Source organism: Homo sapiens, chromosome 15 (assembly GCF_000001405.40).
Source record: "Homo sapiens chromosome 15, GRCh38.p14 Primary Assembly".
Classification (NCBI taxonomy): domain Eukaryota; kingdom Metazoa; phylum Chordata; class Mammalia; order Primates; family Hominidae; genus Homo; species Homo sapiens.
In genome coordinates this window covers 78,485,006-78,512,927 of record NC_000015.10, presented here as the reverse complement: position 1 = coordinate 78,512,927, position 27,922 = coordinate 78,485,006, and the positions used below count along the sequence as shown (strand labels likewise).

At 40.6% G+C, this 27,922-nt stretch overlaps 2 protein-coding genes across 6 annotated transcripts in view; both read right to left on the bottom strand.

The window, feature by feature from the left end:
• The window catches only part of HYKK (hydroxylysine kinase), a 29,797-nt gene extending 24,446 nt beyond the window's left edge, over positions 1-5,351 (bottom strand). For both annotated transcript variants that reach the window (NM_001083612.2, NM_001013619.4), the window contains exon 1: positions 5,257-5,351. The gene's annotated coding sequence lies outside the window, so the exon portion shown is untranslated. The remainder of the gene's footprint in view (positions 1-5,256) is intronic.
• Positions 5,352-11,474: 6,123 nt separating this feature from the next.
• The window catches only part of IREB2 (iron responsive element binding protein 2), a 64,023-nt gene continuing 47,575 nt past the window's right edge, over positions 11,475-27,922 (bottom strand). For all 4 annotated transcript variants that reach the window (NM_001354994.2, NM_004136.4, NM_001320941.2 and 1 more), the window contains 10 exons: positions 27,088-27,223; positions 25,111-25,195; positions 24,592-24,748; positions 24,157-24,281; positions 22,402-22,506; positions 22,167-22,309; positions 18,872-19,019; positions 18,664-18,786; positions 15,617-15,802; positions 11,475-14,895 (listed from right to left, as the gene is read on the bottom strand). In NM_001354994.2, coding sequence (NP_001341923.2) covers positions 14,785-14,895; positions 15,617-15,802; positions 18,664-18,786; positions 18,872-19,019; positions 22,167-22,309; positions 22,402-22,506; positions 24,157-24,281; positions 24,592-24,748; positions 25,111-25,195; positions 27,088-27,223 — 1,319 coding nt within the window. In that variant the 3' untranslated portion in view covers positions 11,475-14,784. The remainder of the gene's footprint in view (positions 14,896-15,616; positions 15,803-18,663; positions 18,787-18,871; positions 19,020-22,166; positions 22,310-22,401; positions 22,507-24,156; positions 24,282-24,591; positions 24,749-25,110; positions 25,196-27,087; positions 27,224-27,922) is intronic.

Here is a 27,922-nt window from a genome sequence, read left to right as displayed (position 1 = left end):
GTGAATAAGATCAAGAAGTAGATGATTTGACAACTGCATACAAATTCTTATAGGACAAATTATTTTTAAACTTACCTCCCAAACACAGACTAGGAAAGCACCTTGGTATCACTTCGTCCATTCCCTCCTCCTCCCCCATTAATTTTATAGGGGAAATTTTGGTCCTGAGAGGTTAAGTGACTTGCCCAAAGTTACATATTAAGTCACAGTAAGAATTCAGCTCTGGGGCTGGACGTGGTGGCTCGAGCCTGTAATCCCAGCACTTTGGGAGGCTGAGGCAGGCAGATCACCTGAGGTCAGGAGTTTGAGACCAGCCTGGCCAACATGGTGAAACCCTGTCTCTACTGATAATACAAAAATTGGCTGGGCGTGGTGGTGGGCGCCTGTAATCCCAACTACTCGGGAGGCTGAGGCAGGAGAATCACTTGAACATGGGAGGTCGAGGCTGCAGTGAGCCAAGATCGCACCACTACACTCTAGCCTGGGCAACAGGGCGAGACTCCATCTCAAAAAAAAAAAAAAAAAAAGAAAAAGAAAAAAAAGAAAAAAAGAATTCAGCTCTCCAGACTTCTAATCCATGATTATGTCCTTTTGACTATATTCCTACCGTCTTAGGTTAAACAATAAATTCAAATACAGTGATCTTTTATAGTAACAGTTTGGTTAAATTATAAGATCATCTAATTTATTACACATATTTCAAATAGAAAAATGTAGACTGATGAGCTAAGTATTGTGTGAGTCACTGGAGGAGATAAGGCCAGAGAACCAAAGAAAACCCTGTATTAACTATACGTATTAACCTGAAATGACTGAATCAACACTGAAGTGACTGAGTTTACCTTAAATTGTAAAGAATATGTTTTCCACTGCTGAGAGGAATAGGGGCTTAAAATTAAAATTAAGGTCAATTACAAAAAATAAAGTTACATTTGAGTTTGTGACCTATGAAATTAATATCTGCCAAAACTGTGACAGAAGCTGAGAGGGAGAGAAATTACTACAGCCTAAGGGAAGACATTCTTGAGAAGATAGATTTGAATTTTTATCTTTAAAGATAGAGATGGGGGTCTCACTTTGTTGCCCAGGTTGGTCTCAAACTCCTGGTCTCAAGCGATCCTCCCACTTACGCCTCCCAAAGTGCTGGGATTACAGGTGTGAGCCACTGGACCTGGCCTGAATTGATTTTTTTTTTTTTATTTTTTTCAGACAGGGTCTTGCTCTGTCGCCCAGGCTGGAGTGCAATAGCATGACTACAACTCACTGCAGCCTCAACCACCAGGCTCAATGATCCTGAACCTCAGCCTCCTAGGTGGCTGGGACTACAGAAGCCACCATATCAGGCTAATTTTTTGTATTTTTTGCAGAGACAGGCTTTCACCATGTTGGCCAGGCTGGTCTTGAATTTCTGGGCTTAAGTGATCTGCCTGCCTCTGCTTTGTAATCCCAAAGTGCTGGGATTACAGGCATGAGCCACCACGCTGGGCCTTGAATTTTTAAGTATGATTTGGATACATGGGCGGGGGAGGAGACTGTTTTCTTTCTCTTGGTAATTCCACCCTCTGCTACCCACACCTGGTATATTTTCTGAGCATCCAGCTACATATGAAAGACAATGTAGGTCTTCTGAACATGCTTCAGGAACCAAATATTTAAGGTCGTTAGAATCTCATGCTGTTTTCCCAAAATAGTTTTATTCTAATCCTTCTTTCATACTAAGTTGTAAATAATTGATAACATCGTGAGGGTGAGCTGCATTTTAGGGTATGTTTTGATTGCTGTTCAGGGGATACAGTACTATATAAAAATAATCTTATGGGCTGGGCACAGTGGCTCATACCTGTAATCCCAGCCAGCACTTTGGGAAGCCAAGGTGGGAGAACACTCAAGGCTAGGAGTTCGAGACTAGTCTGGGCAACATAATGAGACCCGCTTCTCTATTTAAAAAAAAAAAAAAAAAAAAAAAAAAGAATCTCATGAAGAGTTAGCTTTTGTGGAAAGTGGAAGATGTATTGCTTCTGACAGGGAAGGGGCATGAGAGAACTTTCTGAGAGGCAAGTGTTCTACATCTTGATTAGGCTTTGGCGACATGGCTTACATTTGTCAAAACTTAACTTAAAACCTAAGTAAACTAGTAAGATCTGTGAATATCACTGAATGTAAAATTTACCTCTAAAAAAGAAAGAGCGCTTCTGAGAAATTGGCTAGGACAGAGGAGGTGGATCTTAGGACTTTCTTGGAACTCTAAAAATCAGACCATATGCCTGTTAATGCCTAATTTATTTGGCTGTATCATAGCAAAAACCCACCTAACTCCAGTGAGGGAAAGGGGATAACATTCAGGGAGATATACCAGAAATCTCCTATATGACCCCCTCCCTGCCTCAGTCCTAGGACTATGGCCTGATGACTCAAGTTAAAATAAGGGTAGGTAAAGACAGTGGTTCACGCCTGTAATCCCACCACTTTGGGAGGCTGAGGTGGGTGGATCACCTGAGGTCAGGAGTTTGAGACCAGCCTGGCCAACATGGCGAAACCCCATCTCTACTAAAAATAAAAATAAAAATAAAAAAAAAATTAGCCGGGCATGGTGGCCGGCGCCTATAATTCCAGCTACTCAGGAGGCTGCGGCAGGAGAATCACTGGAACCCAGAGGGGTGGAGGTTGCAGTGAGATGAGACTGCGTCACTTCACTCCAACCTGGGCGAAAGACCAAAATTCCATCAAAAAGAAAGAAAAGTAAAGAAAAGAAAGAAAAGAGAGAAGAGAGAGCAAGAGAAAGAAGAAAGAAAGAAAGAAAGAAAAGAAAGAAGAAAGAGAGAGAGAGAAAGAAAGAAAAGAAAGAAAGAAAAAAAAAGAGAAGAGAAAATAAGGGAGAGGTAACCCTCAAACGCTAACCACCCCCTAGCCCCTGCCATGGCCTTCCCTGATCCTCCTACCCAAAGTGATTGCTCCAGCCTCTTAACTTGCATAGCTTGTGCCACTGATCGGTTTCCATCACCTGTTACTGCAAGTTAATGCCTTCTTGACAATCATGTTTCCTGTTTACTTTCTAACCAGGCATTTGCTTTCAGAAGCAAGTTAAGCCGTTCAGATTTTGTTCACTGAAGGTACTGTGACAAAGCCTAAATGGAGTTTCAAAACAATCTTTGCACTTGAAACTTCTGGGAACCAACATATCCTGTCACACTGTATTTAGGCTTAAAACTTTACAAGGAATTTTAACATTCTTTCTGGAGATATGTAAACTGGTATAAGGTAAGTATTCAAAATGCAATATGGACTGAAGCATTAACTCCAAGATGAAATCCTGGAGTCATTTTCAACTCCCAAAGCGTTAACGATGTCAGAACAATTCTGAATTTGAAATGAATGATAAGTTCTTAAAGTTGTAAGGAACCTTAGAGGCAACTGGTGAAGGCCAATCTCCTTTCTATTCCAGATGTTCCCATACAATCTTTGACTTGTTAAGCTCCTCTTAGGAGAGCGCTGTTTTCCATAGCCATGTAAAGCAAGGTTGTTAGCTCTGGCCATCCAAATAGACTGATGTAATAAAAGGCTGTGCTGGGAGAAATAGGACATATTTTAGTCCCAGTTCTGCTACCTAACCTCTGAAACTCTGGACTAGTCATGTCTCCTCTAAAACAGAGTTGGATTAGATTATTACTAAAAGTCTCCTCTAGCTCTAGTATTCCATGCCACTAAAGTTCTTTAAGTTCGCCTTTTTTCTTTATATAAGCGCTCCATATCATAGAACTAATGGCACAGATCAAGTCAACTCTTGAGAGTAAATAAAAACAAAGAAAAAAATATGTTTATCAGACATGTCTGTCTTAACCAAATGTCTCCTTTGTATGGAGGGGAATTTTTTTTTTTTTGTTTTTGAGACAAGGTCTCTGTCACCCAGTCTGGAGTACAGTGGCACAATCACTGCTTACTGCAGCTTCCAACTCCTGGGCTCAAGGGATCCTCCCACCTGAGCTTCCCAAATAGCTGGGACTGCAGGCAGGTGCCACCATGCCTGGCCTTTTTTTTTTTTTTTTTTTTGGAGAGAGAGGGTCCCACTATGTTGCCCAGGCTGGTCTCGAACTTCTGGGCTCAAGCAATCCTCCTACCTTGGTCTCCCAAAGTGCTGGGATTACAGGTGCAAGCCATCATGGCTGTCTTTTTGATTTTATTATTTTTATTTTTTTAGAGACAGTGTCTCGCTATGTTGCCCACTCACACATTTTTAAAAATTATTAACTTTTTTTCCTACTTCATTGAAAGGGAGAGGAGGAATTCAGGTACTATAGGCTGTTGGTCTATATATCCGGCCAACAGTATTTAGCTCCTGAAAAAGCCCGCAGGAAGCAAGTGTGATTTCCAACTCCAAGATCTGCGTCAGAATCTCACCACCTTTGTCCTGCAGCCGGGAGGGGGCTGGAACTTAAGCTCTGTACTTTGTGCAAAGTATACCAGACAAGAAACAGGAGTCATTCTTGATTCTTTCCTGTCCCTCACTCCCAACGTGTAACAAAGTCTAGTAAATTCTACCTTAGCATGTCTTCCAACTCTACCTTTCTTCTCCTACATTCCCTTTTGCTGCGTCCTTCCAAGGGATTATACCCAGTCAATCTCTGTATTCTCAGCCCCTAGGCTAGTCCCTTATTTAATATTAAATGGTGAACCAAGGGTGACCTTCATTCCACAGACTCACGGGGCAGTTCAACCCCAAGGGGATCATGAAACAGAAAGGTGGGGAATCTAGCATCTGCAGTTTTTCAAAGACAACAGTGCATTACTAGGTGCTTTTAAGGGTCTTCCTGGTGGGTGAAGGGGAAAAAGTGGTGGGTGAGCGGGCTGCAGAGGGGCTGCTGAACCAAGAGGCAGGAAAAGAGAGGAGGAGGGCGCATGAGTAAGTGAGGTTCAGCGGAGCTCAGAGACTGCTCCCAGTAGACACCGGCCAGGCGCCGGCACAGCCCTCGGCCAGCGACCCCACACAGACCCGGGAGGGCTGGCCTCGACAGCTTCTCGGGTGCCACGCTTTCATTCTGGGGGCCCAGCTCAGCCCTCCTAGGTTACAGGTGAGGTCCGGGAAGAAGGGTGACTTGCCCATCACGCACGCAGCGAGCTGAGGATAGCGCGGGCTGGAGGAGCCTGAGGCATAGGACTCCCGGCTCCACACTTGCAGCGAGCCTCCCTGCCCTCGGGGGCGACCCCGACTCCCGCAGCGGGGACGCAGGGCTCGTCTCTGCTTCCCCCTCCTTGGCTCACCGGCAGCGACCCGACGTCCTGGGGTGGATCCCGCTTTCCCGCAGACAGGTAGTGCGGCCTCGGCCGCGCACCGGCGCTAGGAGGTAGAGCAGGGGCCGCAGCGCCCGCGCCCCTCCTCCAAGCCCCGCGAGTCCTGACTTCTGATTGGCTCCTCCCGGTCCCTCGCCGCCCAGTCAGCGCAGACTACTGGATTTTTTTCCCGGCCCCGCCTAGGAGGCTGCGAACAGAAATTCAGAGATTCGGCTTCTGTTGACTTTCTGCAACTCCGCCCAGCCTTCTCACAGTGAGTATCCCAGTCAGAATCCGGCTACCTTTTCATGAACCGGACTCCTTATTCCTGATTGGCTCTCCGGGTTGCCGCCCCACCCCGAGTGGGCAGGCTTTCGGCTCTTGAGTGGCACCTCCGAGTTTCGCAGGGTCCACGTTGTCGTGGCGGTAACACTGACAGCTCCTCACCCGCATCCACGTTTTTGTTTCCTAGCCTTCATTCCTTCTGTTGGAGGCACGTATCCTGGAAGTGATACGCTTAGAAAGCGTGGCCCCAGAGAGACTCGCAATCCCAGCCCCAGGAACTGTAAGGGTCCTGATTGGAAGGCCTGAGTAAGGCCTGGCTGCGTTCCGCAGGAGGATGCTGGAATGTTAGAACCCGAACAGTTTAGGCAGGGCGCAGATGGCTCACGCCTGTAATCCCAGAAATTTGGGAGACCGAGGCGGGAGGATCACCTGAGGTCAGGAGTTCGAGACCAGCCTGGCCAACATGGTGAAACCCCTCTCTACTAAAAATACAAAAATTAGACTCAGGGGGTATGTCTGCAGCTGCAGAAAGATGTATGGGAACAGACACACAACTCTCCCTCCGAGATAAGCACAACAAAGAGACACAGAAGCAGTCCAAGCCTCTGATAAACTCTCCCACTCCGAATCCTTAAAAACTTACTTAGTCTGTAAGAGAGTGTGCCTCTGACCTAACTTGGCCAGACGCCCCTCTCAGGTTTTCTCTAAAATAAACCTCTTATGACCACCAAGCCACTTTTCGTGTTTCTTTCCTCTTTCTTTAATTCTTACACCGAGTAGTTGGGATTACAGGGGCCCACCACCACGCCTTTATCTAGGTAGTGGAATCAGTGGGCTCTCTTTCTGCAGGAAAGTCCGCAGAGACCCCATGATTTTCAGAAAGCTGCACGAGATTCATGGAGTAACAGCCAGGTTAGTTGGATGGTCTTAACTGTTAAGGGCATGAGGCGCTGATAAACAGCTTGATGCCCTTCTCCAGCCAAGCAGGACTTCTCCGATAAGTCAGAGCCCTCTATCTACTGTAGGCTACTGGAAGAGAGTCCTGGGTACTGGTCCACTCATGCCTGCAAATTGGTTTCTTATTTTGTTTTTGCCAATGCACATCCACCCTTTGTTTTCTGTCAGGATATAACACACTCGGATTATCTATAGTCACCCTGATTAACTTGGATGATTCCCAGACCCCTATCAACCACCTACTGAGGGAAGCTTCTTCTCCTGCTTTAGATATGGTTCTTACCTGCTTCACTTCTAATCTCCAAAAGGCAGGGCTGTTTTTCACAACCCCAGGGGAACATAATTAATATCTCATTCCTTTAGATTGTCAAAGAGTGATTTTGACTTGGATTTTTCTGTAACCAGAATTGGAATCCTATTGGCTCCCTTAGGCCCCTCTGCATGCTTTTTGCCTTGAGTGGCTTCTGAGTTATTTCCACCTGTCATTATTCCAGCTCTACTGGTCTTTCTCTACTTCTCTTGGGATGAGGGAATGGGAATTAAGATTGAATCTGGAAATTGTGAGAATTGGAGGCAGGGCTATTGGATCCACAACTGCCCTCTTTGGTATGTGCATTTCCACTCCCTGAATTCTTCTGAAATATAGTATTTGGTAGGGTGTGGTGGCTCACGCCTGTAATCCGAGCATTTGGGGAGGCCGATGGAGGTGGCTTACTTGAGTTCAGGAGTTTGAGACCCGCCTGGATAACATGGTGAAACCCCATCTCTACTAAAAAGACAAAAATTAGCCGTGCGTGGTGGCTAGCGCCTGTAATCCCAGCTCCTAGGAGGCTGAGGTAGGAGAATCGCTTGAACCTGGGAGATGGAGTTTGCAGTGAGCCGAGATCGCACCACTGCACTCCAGCCTGCATGACAGAGCAATACTGTCTCAAAAAAGAAAAAAAAAAATGTACTTTGTAAATTGCCTTTTTCACTTTAAGTGACCATTTCCTTGTTTTAAAGAATATCCTCGGCCGGGCGCGGTGGCTCACGCCTGTAATCCCAGCACTTTGGGAGGCCGAGGCAGGCGGATCACAAGGTCAGGAGATCGAGACCATCCTGGCTAACACGGTGAAACCCCGTCTGTACTAAGAATACAAAAAAATTAGCCGGGCATGGTGGCGGGCACCTAGAGTCCCAGCTACTCGGGAGGCTGAAGCAGAATGGTGTGAACCCAGGAGGCGGAGCTTACAGTGAGCCGAGATCGCGCCATTGCACTCCATCCTGGGCGACGGAGCGAGACTCCGTCTCAAAAAAAAAAAAAAATAATAATATCCTCATACATAAATCTTTCGTGCACTTTATGTGTTTAAAACTGCTCAGCATCATATTACTAGGTATAAGAGAATAAACACTTTTAAGGCCTTTTTATTTTTTGAGACAGGGTCTCACTCTGTCACTCGGGAGTGCAGTGGCGTGATCTCAGCCCACTGCAACCTCCGCCTCCTGGGGTCAAGGGATCCACCCACCTCAGCCTCCCGAGTAGCTGGGACTACAGGTGCGCATCACCACGTCCGGCTAATTTTTTGTAGAGACGGGTTTCGCCATGTTTCCCAGGCTGGTCTTGAACTCCTGGGTTAAGCAATCCTCCCACCTCAGCCTGGCAAAATGTTGGGATTAGGGGCGTGAGCCACTGCACCCGGTCTAAGCCTCTTAATACATGTTGTCAAATCATGTTTTCCTCTCAATAATACCAACATTGGATTTTAAACATTTACAACATTTACAACATTTTAAAAAGTTCCACCAATGTAAGACAAGATGCGTTGTCATTTTTTTTTTTTTTCTTGAGACAGAGTCTTGCTCTGTCGCCCAGCCTGGAGTACAACAGTGCGGTCTCAGCTCACTGCAACCACCGCCTCCTGGGTTCAAGCGATTCTCCCGCCTCAGCCTCCCGAGTAGCTGGGACTACAGGCACATGCCACCATACCCAGCTAATTTTTGTATTTTTAGTAGACACGGGGTTTCACTATGTTGGCCAGGCTGGTCTCGAACTGACCTCGTGATCCGCCCGCCTTGGCATCCCAAAGTGCTGGGATTACAGGTGTGAGCCACCGTGTCCGGCCAGATATGTCATTTTAAGCGGGGCATGGTGTTGCATGTCTATAGTCCCAGCTACTCCAGGAGGCTTGGGCAGGAAAAGTGCTTGAGCCCAGGAGTTCGAGGTCAGCCTGGGCCACATAGTGAGACCCGTTTCTAGGGGGGAAAAATGTCATGTCATTGTATTAACGTTTCTTCAGTTGGCTACTGGAGCACTTTTAAGTAGTTGCTCTCAAACATAGCTCAGTGGCTGGTCATGGTGGCTCATGCCTGTAATCCCAGCAGTCTGGGAGGCTGAGGTGGGAGGACTGATTGAGGCCAGGCGTTCAAGACCAGCCTGGGCAACACAGTGAGACCCCCACCTCTATTTTTATAATTTTTTTAAAAAAGAGCTCAGCGATAAAAAAAAAAAAAAAACAAAACTGGAGTGAAACAAAATGAACAATTTGCAGTGAGATTATGGACATGATTTTACATTATAAAACAATGTCTCATAAAACAATATCCCAGCAGTTTTATGATACTTCCTTTATATATTACAAGTTGTTTAAAATGCTCAAAATTGGCTTTAGTTTCCACGGTGGGCTACAGCTAAAGCAGCACTTAGAGGAAAATTTAAATATTTACATTTACATTGGAGGAAAAGTGTTACAAAGCTGGGGGAAAGGAGGAAATTAAATAAGTAACAGAAAGGAAATACTTCAGAGCAGAAACCAATAAAACAAAACAAACCGGGCACGGTGGCTCATGCCTGTAATCCCAGCACTTTGGGAGGCCCCGGTGGGCGGATCACAAGGTCAGGAGTTTGAGACCACCCTGGCCAACATGGTGAAACCCCGTCTCTACTAAAAATACAAAACAAATTAGCCAGACATGGTGGCGCATGCCTGTAATCACAGCTACTCGGGAGGCTGAGGCAGGAGAATCACTTGAACCCGGGAGGTGGAGGTTGCAGTGAGCCGAGATCGCACCATTGCACTCCAGCCTGGGCAACAGAGCCAGATTCCGTCTCAAAAAGAAAAAAAAAAAAAAAAAATCCAAAACCAAAACCAAACAAAAAACCAGAAAACAATGGAGAAAATAATGTAAAAAATTGGCTCTTTAAAAAATTAACTCAATTTCTAACCCTTTAGAAAGACTAATCAAGGAAAAAAAAGAAAACACAAATTACCAATATTGGTAATAAAAAGGGACCCTGCCACAGATCATATAGATATTGATAGGGAAATACTGAAAAAAATGCTTAAAATTCAGTACTAACACCACATAAACACAAAATTCACAGTGACAACACACTTATTTAAAAGACAGGGTCTTGCTGTCACCCAGGCTGGAGTGCAGTGGCATAAATCATAGCTCACTGCAGCCTCAACCTAGGCTCAAGCGATCCTCCTGCCTCAGCCTCCCAACTAGCTGGGACTACAGGTGCACAGCACCACACCAAACTAATTATTATTATTTTTTAAGAAACAGGGTCTTGCTATGTTGCCCAGGGTGGGGTCAAATTCCTGACTTCAAGTGATCCTCCTGCCTCCTGCCTTGGCCTCCCAAAGTGTGAACCACCTCGCCTGGCCACACTTGTCATTATACCAGCAAATTTTGTGAGAATTACATATGCATCTGCTTTTGCAATAAATGCATTTTTCAAGTACAGAACACAGGTTTACAACATACATCAAATCAAAATGGTAAATCTGAAGCTACTTTGTAATTAAAAAGCAAAATTAGCATCAAGTGAAAACTGTAAACCAACTAAATGCTACACTGATGAAGCTCTTAAGTTTCCTCCTAGACTGCATATTCAAACTATCAGCTTGTGCCTATGTTGGTATTAGCCTTTAGGTAATGCAAACTTCTTAGAATACTAAATTGGAATCCTTAGAAAATTCTAATAAAGTGCCAATTATGGTTTATGATTACTGAATTCTAAGAAATAAACCTTACTCTTTTAGGTTGCTAATAATAGTGGGAAGAAAGGATACGTCTTTTTGGATGAGTGTCCCCGCCCAAATCTCATGTCGGATTGTAATCCCCAGTGTTGGAGGTGGGGCCTGGTGGGAGGTGACTGGATTATGGGGGTGGTTTCTTATGGTTTAACACCATCCCCCTTGGTGTTGTCCCAATAGTGAGTTCTCCTGAGATCTAGTTGTTTAAAAGTGTGTGGCACCTCCCCTGTCTCTCTGTTCCTCCTGCTCTGGCCACGTGAAGTGCTTGCTCCCACTTAATCTTCCACCTTGATTGTAAGTTTCCTGAGGCCTCCCCAGAAGCCAAGCAGATGCCAGCATCATGCTTCCTGTACATCCTGCAGAACCATGAGCCAATTAAACCTCTTTTTAAAATAAATTACCCAGTCTCAGGCATTTCTTTATACCAATGCGAGAACAAACAAATACACCTGGGATCCTGGCTCCCAGCTTCCGATGACTTGTTTCATGAACACTAATGAACGGGCAGCACAGGGAGCAGGCATCCTCAGCTGCTCCTGGATGGCATCTGGATGGCGGGACATTTCATTTTTGCTTTTTTTTTTTTTTTTTGAGACAGAGTCTCACTGTTTCGCCCAGGCTGGAGTGCAGTGGCGTGAACTCTGCTCACTGCAAACTCTGCCTCCCGGGTTTATGCTATCCTCCTGCCTCAGCCTCCCAAGTAGCTGGGACTACAGGCGCCCGCCATCATGTCCGGCTAATTTTTTTGTATTTTTAGTACAGACAGGGTTTCACTGTGTTGGCCAGGATGGTCTCGATCTCCTGACCTCGTGATCCGCCTGCCTCGGCCTCCCAAAGTGCTGGGATTACAGGCGTGAGCCACCGTGCCCAGCCGGATGGCAGCATATTTTTTACATCATGTTGTTTTATTTTCAACTACTACAAAACAGAACAAGAATCAAATGTGATAATACAATTTTCTTTATTAAAAATAATTTACAGCATCAGTAACATATACACAATTGTCATCAACTGAACTTTGCCTCCAATATATTTCTATACAATACTTAACATTATTGAACTTAAAACTGTTACACTGTTTTGTTGGCTTTAAATAATAGACAATGATTTTTGTCTATTACTTAGTGATAGACAAAGTGATTACTTTGTTACTTAAGTGAGATATATGGTTTCATAGCCACATATTATGTGTAAAATTGATAGAAACGTCAGCAATATCACTCTTTAGGGGAAAAAACACTGAAAAGCCAAAGTCCACCCTCTTCTTCTCTCTTATTACTCCAACCAAACTAAGATAGGATAAACATCCAGTATCTTAGTATCTCCTCCTAAACCTAAAGACAAAAGAAAGGTGTCTTCTATTCAACCACAGAAAAATGTCAAATAATTTCTTCTCATCCTCTCACTCATCACTGTGAAAGCAAATGCACACGACCTTGTTACCATATATGCAGGCAACTATGATTCTGATTTAGGTCCTAGCTTTACTTTCCTTTAGTACAACTGTTGTTTGATTACCAACGAAAAACTAAGCAATCTGGCTAGAGGGATACTAGTACCTTCTTTCAAATGTCAGCATGGAGATAAAACAAAATAGTGATAACTGTCATCTTAGAAACTTTTTAGATATAATAATGGCAATTCAGTGGCTGGATGACATTTCCATTGATTCCATTGTATAAGAGTAGCAAAACCCCAAAATATGAAAATGGCAATGATATGTAGCATAATGTTTTCAAAGTATAAAAAAAACCCTGCTGTTGGTAGTGACCTTTGAAATTGTACTTTAAGCTTACAACACTGATTTGCTTTTCTTGTGTGTCTGACATTACACTTCCTTTTTTTTTTTTTTTTTTTGGTAACACAAAATTACCCAAGGTATAGTAAACAAAGAAGACACAGACAATAAAAACTAACAGATGCCACATTTTGCAAACATAGCATTTGGCTAGAGGCAGAATTATAAGGTATACATATTAAAACATACATCCAAGACTCTCCTCCTCAATTTGAAACCATGTTTATCAAGTTTTTACTTCATTGTATATAAGCCAAAAAATTAAGAGAACCTTGATTTGTTCCTGAAATACAAGATTTGCTTGTATTATTACTGGACCAGGTAGACTGGATATGTGAATGTTTAATTCATAGTTAGCTAGCTTTACCATCATCTCCTGAATCAGCTGCTGAGGATGCCTGTGCCTCTGCCCATAACTATATATAGAGTATGCTTTCAAAACAATATAGGCCGGGTGTGGTGGCTCACACCTGTAATCCCAGCACTTGTGGAGGCCAAGGCGGGCGGATCACGAGGTCAAGAGATTCAGATCATCTGGCCAACATGGTGAAACCCCATCTCTACTAAAACTACAAAAATTAGCTGGGCGTGGTGGTGCATGCTTGTAGTCCCAGCTACTCAGGAGGCTGAGGCAGGAGAATCCCCTGAACCCGGGAGGCGGAGGTTGCAGTGAGCCAAGATCGCGCCATTGCACTCCAGCCCAGCCACAGGGCAAGACTCCGTCTCAAAAAACAAAACAAAACAAAATAGATTTGTTTCCCCCTGCACAATCTGGAATTACCATTTCTTCAGAGCACATACAGGCATTTCATCTTTCAACCTGTAATTTCTCCTAACTCATGTTTTCATGTAAATTAAAAACACATGCACTAACAAATAAATATACAGCATATATCAAGAACACAATATAATTTGAAAGTGTCGAAGAAAATACTTATACAAAATTTAAATAAAGAAATCATTTTGTCGAACTCTAGTCCATCTTATTGTCTAAACACATATTTGCAAAATATTTTCAAAAGATTGTATGATTATGTGCAAAGTTCTTAGTGGTCTTCATCCACTGGTTTGGTAGTTTCAGCATTTTGCTTACAACAAGTAATTCTTTATGCAATGTGAACTAATTCTGAATTGCAGTAACTAACTAGGTCATAGAAAGATATCTATGTGAAAAAAAATCACTACAATTAACCTTTAGCCTGCTAGACTTAGTTTCTTAATTAAAAAAACAGTATAGAACCTTCTATAATTAATTTTCCAACCTTTTTAAAAAAAATTACCAAACATCTTGTTGACAGAACATTTGATGTGATGGGCAGACATGCATATTGAGGATATATAGTACTCAGCAACAACTTAAGTGTTTTATCCTTACGGTCAGCTTTGGTTAAAACAGTAACATAACAAAATTAATAGAATCATGCATCGCAGGTGATAAATGATTCAAAATGACAGGAAATCAATTTAATTAAGAAATAGCAACACTTAAAAAATGCATAGGGTTGAGCACCCGTATTATTGAGGGTGGATAATTTAAATGTATAGAAGAAATCAGTTCAGAGTTTAATGATTGAATAACATTCTCTTTAGCAACTATGAGTGTGAAATTTTGGTTAATGATACCGAAAATATTAGGTTATAGGAAGTTACAGTATTACATAAGGTGAGCAAAATAATCTAATCCAATTAATATAACGCCATCTGGGGGCTTGCCAGACAGTCACAGTGGCAAACTGCTGAAATATGAAAGGCTGCATCATATGTGATACATATTCCCACTGCTAATACATGGTGCCACACAATCAGTTGTATCCTGCCATGGTCCATCTTCATATGTGGAGGGAACCTTGGCTGGATTGGACAGAATGATTGTGACCTGGGGCAGGTTCCATCCCTTGCAGTTAGACTAAGGATAAACCTGGTTATATGACAAACTAAGAATGCCAAATGTGTCCAGCTCAATTCTGAAGAGGAATTAATATACTTAAAAGGTCCATTTATAAATGAGATTCCAATGGCCACAATTTTAGAGTCTAATCTGGCTTCTTATATTTCAATCTGCTACTCTTAAACCAACAAACAGTAGTACACAGTTTTATTGGTGCAAAACTAAACAAATCCAGGAAGGTTATTCATATAAGAATCTTCAACACAAATTCTGCCTTTATTTACAAAATGGTCTGATAAAATATCGCCCCCCCCCCATACTTACAGGTCTCTTCCACAACACACTTCACACGTTGATTTTAGCAATATTAATAGCACCATTCGTATATTATTTAAAATCAAGAAGATTTCATTTCAGTTACTATGTTGATTCATCATCATTTACATCCATGGATGAGATAAGTGAGTATACTGGGACTATCTGCTGCTCCATGGTAAGGATTCCTGGGTCCAGCACAAAAGGCTTTGCAGTTACCAGTTATGAAAGGTATCTATGGTAAGTAGATACTATGAGAATTTTCGTGCCACAAAGTTTAATAATCCTCCATGTTTGTATAATGTTATTTCCACATCATCTTCAAACGAAGCAATCACGCTGAATACTTTTCCAGTGCTTGTCTTGAAAGGAGCAAAAACATCTCATGTGAGCAAGTAAATCTTCCAGGTGCTACTTGATGGTTAAGACCATTTGTCTTCATATTTAATGACTATACTTGCCACAGATTCTGTCTGATTTATCTTGGTTCTAATTTCTTATATTCTGATTGCCTGAAACTTTGCTGCTGCTTGAAAAACACCTGAGATACCTGACCATGGGCTTCATAGTTAAGTAGAAAAATAGCTGCATTTAGATTTTGACTTATTAATTGGGGAAGTTATACTCACTACTCACATTCATTTTACACCAAATATTGATTGCATGTAATCAGTAACTCCTACTCTTTCCCCTTTTTTCTTAGTTGTAAAGTCTGTTTTGCTCTAACTTTGAACGCTCAACTTTGCTCTCTTTGGAGTGGTATGTATGCCTCGGTTAAAATTAGATCAGGACAGCAAAAAAATGACCACCATGAAAAGAAAGCTGACACTTGTTAAGTGGAAGTCAAGATTCCCCTTCATGTGTTCTTTTTTTCTGGTATAAGCACCCAGTTCTTTCCACTTTTCCTCAGAGAACATGAACTATTAACATAGCTAGATCTAAGTATGGAAGAGAGAGTCATCTTAAATGGCAACTTAACATTCATTAAGTGACATTAGTATATAATTTACAGCAATTGATTCTTATTCAATAATTCATAAACATTTGAGTGCATAATCATATATTTGAAAAATTTAGAGATACCTGTATATTCAATGTAATTCCAGGAGACAGTTCTTCAGGAAATGTTAAAGAAAATGTTTCTCTACCGGAGAGGCCCAAGGAATCTGCATTTTCTCCTGGAAGGAACTGAAGTGGAGCTATGCCAATTCCAATCAAATGATCTTTGTGTATTTTTTCATAACTTTCGGCCAAAACAGCTTTCACACCCTGTAATAAATGTGCATTTTATTCCCTCTAATCACTTCTGAAAGTTATTTATTGAGCATTTAAAGGGGGCAAAAATCTACTTTGGCCTTTCTCTAAATACTTTTAGTCTAATATCTCATACTGAATCAATATTTTATCAAAGTATTTACAGAACCTTCTTACAGATTATTTTTCTGAATTTTTATGGAGCTCTCTAAATTATTCGGATCCCTTTCTGCTGCTCTAGGGTTAAGTACTGCCGCTGCCTACCACATCATAAGAGCTCTATAAATGGGCCGGCTCCCTTGACCCCAAAGTAGGGCTCAGAAGGATTTCTATTTAAACATGCCAGATCTAACATATGTTTTCAACACTCTTGAAATGCCACTAAAATAAAGGAATAAAGAAGGTATATAGGGCCAGGCGCAGTGGCTTATATGCTTATAATCCCAGTACTTTGGAGGCTGAGGCAGAAGGATTATTTGAGGCCGGGAGTTTGAGACCAGCCTGGGCAATATAGTGAGACCCTGTCTCTACAAAACATAAAAATAAAAAATACAATAAAAAGTAACAAGAATAGGCTGGATGCAGTGGCTCACACCTGTAATGCCAGCACTATGGGAGGCCGAGGTGGGCAGATCACTTGAAGCCAGGAGTTTGAGACCAGCCTGGCCAACATGGTGAAACTCCATCTCTATCTAAAAACAGAAAAATTAGCTGGACATGGTGGTGCACACCTGTAATCTCAGCTACTATGGAGGCTGAGGCAGGAGAGTCACTTGAGGTTGTAAGTGGAGGTTGCAGGGAGCTGAGATCATGCCACTGCATTCCAGCCTGGACGACAGAGTGAGACCCTGTCTCCAAAAAATACAAATAAGTAACAACAATAATGAAGAGGGTATAAGCCCACAGCAACAAAGGGAATAGGATGAGAGAATTCTATGAATATTTAGAAAACAGAGATAGGTAAGTGATTTAGAAGACAATGCTGAAACCGCAGAATGATAAAATGAAATTAGAGAGTGATACCAGTAAGGTCTGAGTTAATGTGCAACACAAGACCCAGGAAAAGGATTGAGATTCAGAGGCATGAGGTTCTCAGAATACTCGTGGACACAGGTTACAAGGCCATACAAAGCAGTAAGATCCAGCTCAATCCCCACTCCACAAGAGTAGAGGTTTATTCTCTGGAAAAAATGAGCCAAAGGCTCTAGACTTGTGTTTTTCAACTTTTTTCTCCACTGTCTACCTAAGGAGTCTTTTAAGACTTTTTTCCCCCAAATTGTGTCTTCCTGTTCACCTCCCTTCTCTCCAAAATTTTAGTACCACAAAGATGCTGTGTATCTTTTAATGTACTCTTATCTGTACTTTATGTGCAAAAAGTAGAATTTTTTTTACCACCTGAGGACCAATTTTTGTTCTTTTTTACTCATTTTTTACAAATTTTTACTCATTTTTTGTTATAGCAGAAATAAGGAAGAGAATACATTCTCTAAACTGACAAACACTGGGCACAGGGGCTTGAGAATACCAGATTGAAAACAGGGGACTAAGTAGATGTCTACATACTGAACGAGTCTCTTTCCTTCAAGAAACTGAATGGCCTCAGAGAAAATACAGATAATGACATATAGAATCGCTTAATGAAAAAGGTAGCTTATCACCCAGTCACCTATAGTAAGGCCCAGTAACTGACACAACCCAGCCCCCATCCATGGCTTGTAATCAGTTTTTTAATGTCTAACAAATGGAGGGCCAAGCATCACCTGCCATATAAGGAAAGCTTCCAACATCAAAAACAAACACTAAAACAATTTCCAGGATAAAAATAACCTATACCTATCATTAATACTCATAATAATACTTATAATTAGTATCTTAGAAGGATGAGATTTTGTTTTATTCCCACAGCCCCTCAGAGTATTTACATTTTAAAGGAGATATTAAAGATTAAAATAAGAATGAGGCCTGCATGGTATCTGTGTTTCAGCCAGCCTTTTTACAGCTACAATTGTAAAGAGAAGCATCTGTGAGTATGAAATGGCAAAAAGCACATGTCACATGACTATTCCCCCCCAGCAGATGGCCTATTTGCTCTGCAACAAGGAAACAGTCTCAGGAGAAATGTCCTCCTGGCAGACAGCCAGGCACCACAATCTCCTATTTAGGGGGAAAAAAGGTGCAACTTGGCCTACTACTTCTGAGTCTTTTACCCACTGATGGGGCAAATCGGAGAAAATTAAATCAAAAGGAGGCAAGTAAAATTAACAGTGGGGGCCGGGCACATGGCTCAAGCCTGTAATCCCAGCACCCTGGGAGGCCACAGCGGGAGGATCACTTGAGCCCAGGAGTTCAAGATCAGCCTGAGCAAAATAGAGAGATCCGATCTCTACAAACAATACAAAAATTGGCCAGGTGTGGTAACTCATGGCGTAGTCCCAGCTACTTGGGAGGCTGAGGCAGGAGAACTGATTGCACCTGGGAGGTCATGGCTGCAGCAAGCAGTGATTGCGCCACTGCACTCCAGTCTGGGTGACAAGGACATGGTCTCAAAACTAAAAAACCAAAAAAAATGATCAATAGGTATAAATAATTATAAAACAATAGTTTAAAACAGAATTTCCTTTCCCTCTATTATACTGACTTCTTCACATAAGACTGATGTAGGTTTTACCAAACTCAGAGTATTAAAATGATACTAACTAGATGAGTACAAAATATTACCAAAGATCACTGAAATAAACAAACAAACAAAACCCTCTATACCTATAAGGTTCAAATAACTATAAAAAATCCAGATAAACTTTGACAGGATGTTACTGACAAAAGGGAACAGTTAAAACTCTTTGAAGCTTAAGATGATAAATTTTAAGATTCAATACCAGTAAATACGGTCCTTTGGCAGCCCAGTCTCTGGAGTTTCCTGAACCATATTTCTTTCCTGCTAAAATAATCAGTGGGATACCTTCTTTCTGGTACAGCTCTGCAGCCTCAAATACATCTAGCTGTAGATTAAAACAAACACAAAATTTTTTAATACAAATTTTGATCCAGTTATAAATTGTCTAAATACTTTGTTTGCATTCTCACCGTCTGTCCTGATGGAAAATGAATTGTTTTAGGAGCTGGTTTTCCAATAAACTTATTAAAAAGCTTGATATTTGCAAAAGTGCCTCTTGTCATTACAGCATCATTACCTCTTCGAGCTCCGTAAGAGTTGAATTCACGAGGGGTAAGGCTACAAGAAAGTAATGAAAGTCAGTTTTCATTACATGTGGAAAATAATCACATACTATTGAGCTGTAAGACCTATTGAAAAATTTTTTTATCACAGAAAATTTCAAACACAAAAGAAAACAAAACCATGAATGTCCATGCGCCTATCACCAAGCTATAACTTAACAGATGCTCCGTTTCTTCTACAGTCAACCCCATTAGATTATTTTGAAGCAAAACTGAGATAATTTTAACAGCATACTTTTCAGTACATTTCACTAAAAGATGTAGACTCTTAAAAAAAAATCTTTACACCAAAAAAAAAAAATCACAATAATTTCTTAACATCAGATAGTCAATATTGTCACTGATTATTTCCAAACTAAGTTGGTTTGTTCAAATCAGGATCCAAATGCAGTTCATAAATGTGTTCAGTTGATCTCAAGTGTTTTAATCTACAGTTGACCTTTAAACATGAATTTGAGTTGTGTGGGTCCACTTATACATCGATTTTTTTTCAACCAAACACTGACAGAAAATATATTATTCACAGGATGCAGAAAACTGCAAATACGACTTTTCATATATGTGGCTTCTGCAAGGCTGACTGTAGGAATTCAGTATGTGTGGATTTGGGTATACATGGGTGGTCCTGGAACCAGTCCCACATCTATACTGAAGAATGACAGTATATGTTCCCTCTCCTTCCTCCTGCTTGTGCTCTATCTGATGCAATAAAGTTACTTGTATAGTTTTCTGTACCCACATTGTGTTGACTGCATCTCCATGAATCATTTAACATGTTCTTCTGCCTTCTGTTCTTGTAAATCACATGTCAGATCCAGTGGTTTGATAAGATTTGGGTTTTTAATTTTTGGCAACAATGCTTCATAGGTCATATGTACTTCTATTAGGAGGCACAAGATAGCCAACTGTCTTTTCCTGGAATGTTACCAGTGATTGCTCATTGTGGTCTAGATTGCTTATTAGAGACCGTAAAATAGTGATACTATAATTCACCCATTCCTTCTTCATTTTTTAGGTACAAAAGTTCTATAAAGAAAAACTTTCCAGCAGGTATGTTGGCTCTTGCCTGCAATACCAGCACTCTGGGAGGCCAAAGTGGGAGGAATGCTCGAGCCCATGTGTTGGAGACCAGCCTGTGCAACAAAGGGAGATCTCATCTCTACAAAAAATTAAAAATTATCCAGGCATGACGGTGCGAGCCTGTAGTCCCAAGCTACTCAGGAGGGTGAGACAGGAGGAGTGCTTGAGCCCACGAGTTCCAAGCAGCAGAGGGCCAAGTGCCACTGCCTTTCAGCCCAGGCAAGAGTGAGACCCTGTCTCTAAAAACAAACAAACAAACAAATGACAAACTTTCCTTCATCAATGATTTGGTTATGCTGAAATACATTCCATACATGAAAGGCTGGTTAAAGAATTGATTATTTACCAGTTTTCAAGCTAATGAGCTGGTCCTGACCCTGAGACCTTTAGACAGAAGCCTGATGGTCTGTGACCATCAGGTAATCTTTGTAATTTTATTTTTGGTAATCTTGGTAATTTTTGGTAAAATTGTGTACATTTTCCAGTCCCAGATCTGGAATCAATAATTTCTCCATGAAGCACTGGTTCACTATAGTGGGAAACAGTATTTAGAAATCATAATCTGGGTGCGGGGGGTATTGCTACTGGATTAGTGACCATATATAACTTTTTAGGGAAAAATAACTGAACATAAGTATCTCAACAATCAACAACTGACTTTTATCAGCCTCTGATTTGGTCTTTTATGCAGAGGCAACAATATTCTAAATTTGTGCATTTAAATTTTTACTTCAGGATGGGAGTGGTAGGAGGTTTGAGTGTCTTTATTTTTAGAAAATTCTAATTGATGAGCACTACTGGATTAAATGTGCTAAGAAATACATATCAGGAGGCATAATAATTACAAAAATTGTACATTTGAGAGAAGTGTTGACTGTTTTTCTTTTTTGGAGGTATGTCACAATTATGATGAAGATGGAAATCACAACCAAAAAAATATTTACAGGAAAGGAAACTTATTTCTCACCACTTTATAATAAAAGCTGTGCAATATTATCACATGTCAACACAAGCTACATTGACATTTTGGCTGGGCACGGTTGCTCATGCCTGTAATCCCAGCAATTTGGGGGGCCGAGGTGGGCGGATCACTTGGTCAGGAGTTTGATACCAGCCTGACCAACATGGTGAAACCCTGTCTCTACTAAAAATATAAAAACTTGCTGGGCATGGTGGCGCGTGCCTGTAATCCCAGCTAGTTGGGAGGCTGAGGTAGGAGAATTGCTTGAACCCGGGATGCAGAGGTGGCAGTGAGCTGAGATCACACCACTGCACTCCAGCCTGGGTGACAGAGTGAGTCTGTCTCAAAAATAAATACATAAATAAATACATACATAAATAAATAAATTTCAATGAAAAAGCTTGTCATTTTAATTACTCAAGCATCAAACAAGCATCCAATAAGCTAATCAGGTAGCAGTACTACAAATCCTGCTTTTAACAAAACTTTGTCTCTATTGTCAAAACAGTCCTTTGATAACAGGGCAACTCTACATGATTAATCATGTAGAAATGAAATCTTACCAGTTTTAAATTTATATCTCCAATATAAATGGCCTTTACGTTTATTGTTCCTATAAAATTTTAGGCTCATGAAGCAGAAATTCATTGTCTTTTGATTTGTACATATCATTCCCAGCCTCACACACGTACATGTTATAGCCCATAAAATACACATTTAAATTCCTTACTCCAATAATGGGAAGCTGGTTTTAACCAAATGAGCAGGCTTCATTTGGTAGGTAAAACCAAGCTGACTTTTCAATAAAGTAGCACTGAAAAAGAAAAATCTTATTTCCAATCAGCTGTTTATTTAGACTATAAGGGCTCAATTTAAAATTGCAATTTCATTTTCTAAAGTCACAAGCAAAGACAAGTACAGAAGGTACCCCCCGCCTCCCCACCCCGCCACTCTCCATTCTTGCTTAAGACAAACACATTGGCAGTCAGATTACCTACGATAGCATGTATTTACTGGAAAAAAGGAACAAGACCAATAGAAGCCTCTTAATCAGTAAGAAACAAGAAAAAACAAAAACACTCTAAAGCCATGTACACATACCCTCTGTTTGTCAAATACTTAGCGGCAGCACTATTCCTAGCGATACTTCCTGCAGGTGATATATGATCTGTTGTGACAGAGTCTCCCAAATATAATAAGACATGGGCATTTTCAATAGCCTGGAGTGCAATTGGCTCTTTGGTCTAGAAGGTAAAAGTTCAAGGCATTTAACTCTTTACAAGACTTCTTAGTTTATAACAATCTTTAAAAGATCAAATAGTAAAACAGTACTTACAAGTTTATCAAAAAATGAAGGGCATCTGATATAAGTAGACTTTAAGTCCCATGGAAACAAAACTGAATCCGGTGCTTCTAAGGAATTCCACCGTTTATTCCCCATCTGTGAATACAGTTTTCGTTGATGAACCAAAGCAAAGATAAAAGGACTCAGAAAAAGAGGCGCATGAAAATGATCAAGGGAATAAAATAGTACTTAGGTCACAACAACAACAACAAAAATAGGCCTTATCCATTTGGAAAGAAAATTAAGAGTGTATTCTTTTCTTTTTTTTAAAAAATTTTAAATTTTTATTTTTGCCCAGGCTGGTCTTAAACTCCTGAGCTCAAGCGATACGTGGGCCTTGGCCTCCCTGAGGGTTGGGATTATAGGCATTAGCCACCATGCCCAGCCAAAACAGTGTGTTCTAAAAAATCATGATGTTTTTGGACAGAATGATTAAAAATTTGCTCCTCAAATTCTAGCATACCAGATGTTCAGGAACACTCCAAGGGGCAAGTTTCAATATAAACAGAACATAAAGACTTCACAGAGTCCAAAAAAGTTAAAGAATTTAGAAAGATTTCTATATGTTGCTACAGAGAGATTAAGCATGTATGAGGTATGCTGTTAATGTCTAAGAATGTTATAATGGAGAAAAACCTCTGCTTTTTCAATGTATTTGTTCCACATCAACGCCTTCAAACTACAGCCAAAAATCTCACCATTTCTTAGGCCAGGCACAGTGGCTCACGCCTGTAAACCCAACACTTTGGGAGGCTGAGGTGGGCGGATCACTTGAGTCCAGGAGTTTGAGACCAGCCTGAGCATTTTTTATTTTTTATTTTACAAAAAATAAAAAATTAGCTGGGCCTGATGGTGAGCGCCTGTGGCCCCAGCTACTCAGGAGGCTGAGGAGCAGGATTGCTTGAGTCCAGGAGGTTAAGGCTGCAGTGAGCTGCTTCAGGCCACTGCACTCCAGCCTGGGTGACAGAGTGGGGTGCCATCTCCCAAAAAACACCAAAAAATAAATAATAAAAAATAATAAATATTGCATAATTTAGCTAATTATTCTCTTTACAGCTTATTTGCCTCTCCCCAGGAGAATTTTGTGTTTTGTTCAATGATGTATTCTGAACACCTAATCAATTCTTTCTTTTCCCCCCTCAACTGTTATTTTAACTTCTGGGGTACATATGCGGGATGTGCAGGTTTGTTACATAGGTAAATGTGTGCCATGGTGGTTTGCTGCACAGATCATCCAATCAACACTAATGAATTCTGATCCTCTAAGACATTTTCTTTCTTTTTTTTTTTTTTTTGAGACAGAGTTGCACTCTTGTTGCCCAGGCTGGAGTGCAGTGGCGCGATCTCGGATCACCGCAACCTCCGCCTCCCAGGTTCAAGTGATTCTCCTGCCTCAGCCTCCTGAGTAGCTGGGATTACAGGCATGCGCCACCAAGCCTGGCTAATTGTTTTGTATTTTTAGTAGAGATGCGGTTTCTCCATGTTGGTCAGGCTGGTCTTGAGCTCCGGACCTCACGTGATCAACCTGCTTCAGCCTCCCAAAGTGTCGGGATTACAGGCGTGAGCCACTGTGCCCAGCCGCCATTTTCTTTTTAACTACAGATTCCAGATACAAACTTACTATTACACATTAAAAACTGTATTCAAAATAATGTAATTTTAATTTTTATTCTATTCAGAAGATATATGAAATAAAAGAACACTGCAAATTGATTAAACTATTTAAGAAACACATAAGACTCTTACTTCTATTTTATCTTTTAATGCTTTAAACATGGATAGTATAACATGTTCTTCCTCTACTCGATGAACTTCTTCTCGACTAGGCCAAATATCATGCAGGTAAATGTTCTTGCCGGTGGGGTCAGTACCTGGTTAAAATTTTTGAACATGATACTCAGTAAAAAAATAACTCTGAAAATGTTCATACCTTTTCAAAGACATATCATGGAAATCAAGTAAATGATTCAACAGGGTGCTTCAGGCTTAAGCGGCTGGAAGAACTAATTACCTGTACATTTTATTTTCTTCACATAAACACAGAAATTAATAACTATACATTATCATACGTCTTCCTGAAATAATTCAAAGAATAGATGGTCTAAGAAACATTTCAAAAATATAACGACTTCCATTGGGAAAAGTATGTGTAGGTATACATATACATAAAGGAAAAGATACCTAAAGGTTCTGTCTGGAAATCTATATTCACTGTGCCTGCTATGGCATAAGCTACCACTAAGGGTGGAGAGGCAAGATAATTGGCACGAACACAATCACAAAGACGACCTTCAAAATTTTTGTTTCCAGATAAAATTCCACAGGTAACCAAATCACCCTGAAAAAAACACAAACACACAAACAAATAAATTCAATTCTAGAGATGGTACAAATCTGGATAATCATATATAAGCAATCTTAAAGTCTGAGGGCGAGATTAACCAAAAAACATATTACTAATTTTTAAATATAGAACTATGCATCTTGCAAATAAACTAAATCAATTCCTTGTATTATGAAGGAATTATTTCAAGGATCTACAAATGATTCATTGAATCATTTAAAGATTCACAGGTTACTATTGCCAAGAGGTGCAGAGTTTACAGAAATATAAACACATCAATATATATTTTCTATAATTTAGTAACAAAACATAGTTAAGAAAATCATTTAGATGTCTTGCCAATCCACACATTTTACCTGTTTTACTGCATTTAAAACTGCGTCTGATAAGGGTGCTGTATTTCCCACACAAATTGAACATCCATAGCCAACGATTTCAAATCTGCATTTCAAAAAAAAAGTGACTGAATAGCACATCACAACATTTATAGAGAAAGGACAAGTCTTATCTTGTATTTCTATCACTGTAATAAGATTACTTAAAAGACTATTCATGACACATGGATTAACCTTCATCAATATATTCACCTCAGAAGATTCTGAGCAATCAAGTCTAACTCTCAGGCATGCTATTTGAACCAGCTCACTGCAGCCTTAACCTCCTGGGCTCAAGCAATCCTGCTCCTTGGCCTCCTAAGTAGCTGGGGCCACAGGCGCTCGCCACCAGGCCCAGCTAATTTTTTTATTTTTTGTAAAATAAAAAATAAAAATGCTCAGGCTGGTCTCAAAGGTGAATGCAAACCTTTGAAGAGCCTTAATAGCACTTATCACTGTACAAGAGAATTCCCCCAAATACTACTTGCTAGGAATATAACATGACCTTTTAAAATAATTGATACTGTACTTCCATCCAAGAGTTTAAAATGTAAAGAGGACCTGGCTATAATAACCTGACCAAAGGTCCCAAAAGAGGCATTGATTGTAATTGGGCACTCTGATAGGAGTAATCTCTCAATTATCAACCAGTTAAACCCAAGAAGAGTCTCTGACAATAAATCCAAGATAATATAACCAAAAGATTACAGGCACAGTCCTCTAAATTACTTTCAGATGCTATTCTAAAAGCAAAAAAGTCTAAAATTTATCAGTTTTGCAATGGAATTGATGACTCATATGTTCCAAAATACACACCGAAAATATAACTAGGCTGGGTGTGGTGGCTCAGGCCTGTAATCCCAACACTTTCGGGGGCCAAGACGAGCCGATCACTTAAGGGAACAAGTTTGAGACGAGCCTGGCCAACACAGTGAAACTCTGTCTCTGCTAAAAACATAAAAATTAGCTGGGTGTGGTGGTGCACACCTGCGGTCCCAGCCACTCAGGAGGCTGAGGTAGGAAGACTGATTGAGCCTAGGAGGTCGAGGCTGCAATGAGCTGTGATTGCACCACTGCACTCCAGTGTGGGCAATAGAGCAAGACACTGTCTCAAAACCAAAAAATCCCCACACAACTAGCATCAATTGTTTTGGATTACATAAAAAACATAGGTTACTTTTTTTTTTTTCTTTTTGAGATGGAGTCTCGCTCTGTCGCCCAGGCTGGAGTGCAGCGGCACGATCTGGGTTCACTGCAACCTCCGCTTCCCAGGTTAAAGCAATTCTTCTGCCTCAGCCTCCTGAGTAGCTGGGACTATGGGTGTGCGTCACCACGCCTGGCTAATTTTGGTATTTTTTGTGGAGACGGGGTTTCACCATATTGGCCAGGCTGGTCTCAAACTCCTGGCCTCATGATTTGCCTGCCTCGGCCTCCCCAAGTGCTGGGATTACAGGCGTGAGCCACCGCGCCCAGCCCAAAAAACATAAGTTACTTTCTCCAAAGTTCAGGGACAATTTAAACTTATGTATTATAGACCCAATAACCTCATAAAACTAAAATTAAGACAATTTTCAGTTAATAAATGCAAACTATAAGATTTCTTTCTTTTTTGAACTGACCTACACAACTCACAGAAATTGTGCATACTTGGTATCGTTTCTTACACTGTAACTGTTATTTGGTTGTACTTGTTTGTCTTGTCTTCCCAACTAAGTATCTTGAAGCTAAGACCACATCTCCTACTTCTGTGTATCCAACCTGGTGCTTTGCTCATTTGATATGCCCAATAAGTGTTTCCTGAGTGATAAGGCATCAAAAATTGTATGGTAATGGCAAGGTAGCAAGTAAAACTAAAGCATATTTTTTCTATCTTCTCTTTGTATATGAAAGGCACAAACAAGCAGCTTCAGTACCTACTGAACACCAATATCAATATGAAGTGCGATAGCTGTTACTTACCCAAGCTTACTTAGATATGGTAATACTCCACTTGAACTGAGGTAATGTGTAACCATCCCACTGCCTGGAGATAAACTTGTTCTTATATAAGGTTTAACACGCAGACCAGCTTCAACAGCCTTTTTAGCCAAAAGACCTGCACAGCCAACAAACAATGATTTATTATGGCAATGTTTCTTTCCCTCTCTCACCCATATTAAAGTAAAAAGTGAGAAGTAATTTATTTAACAGATTAAAGTATGAATTCATAAACTTACTGTCATTATTTTGTCCACTTTATTCTACTGATTTGCTTCATTTACAACAAATTTAAAATTACAGCCTTTATGTTGAAAATTATTAAGATACAGGCTGACATCATTCACACAGAGTAAACAAAAGGTGCACATATATAAGTACATGTTAACAAAACCATTTTTTCTCTTTCTTCTTTTTTCTAAAGCAAACCATTTTAAAGTCATAATTACAATAAGAGCAATGTAACACATTATACATGGTTTTATACAACTAAGGAATTGTTCCAATGGGCATACAAATTAATTTCATTTACAATCCTTGCCAAGACAATGATCTTTTACTACTTTTATAACTTTTAATGAAATCTACCACACTGTTATGGTTAACTTCTAGATAATCAAGAAATACCTGCTAATTAACTATAGTTCTAAATTAACAAGAGAAGCAGATACAACCTAAAATTAATTGACAGGTAAGTTATAGTAAACAGTAAATTTACCTTCGGTGTAATAAAAACAACATAAATCAAACTCAGGCTCCTTAAGACCTAACTAAAATACTAGAAAGTCTCTCAATATCAAATGTAGACACTCATGCA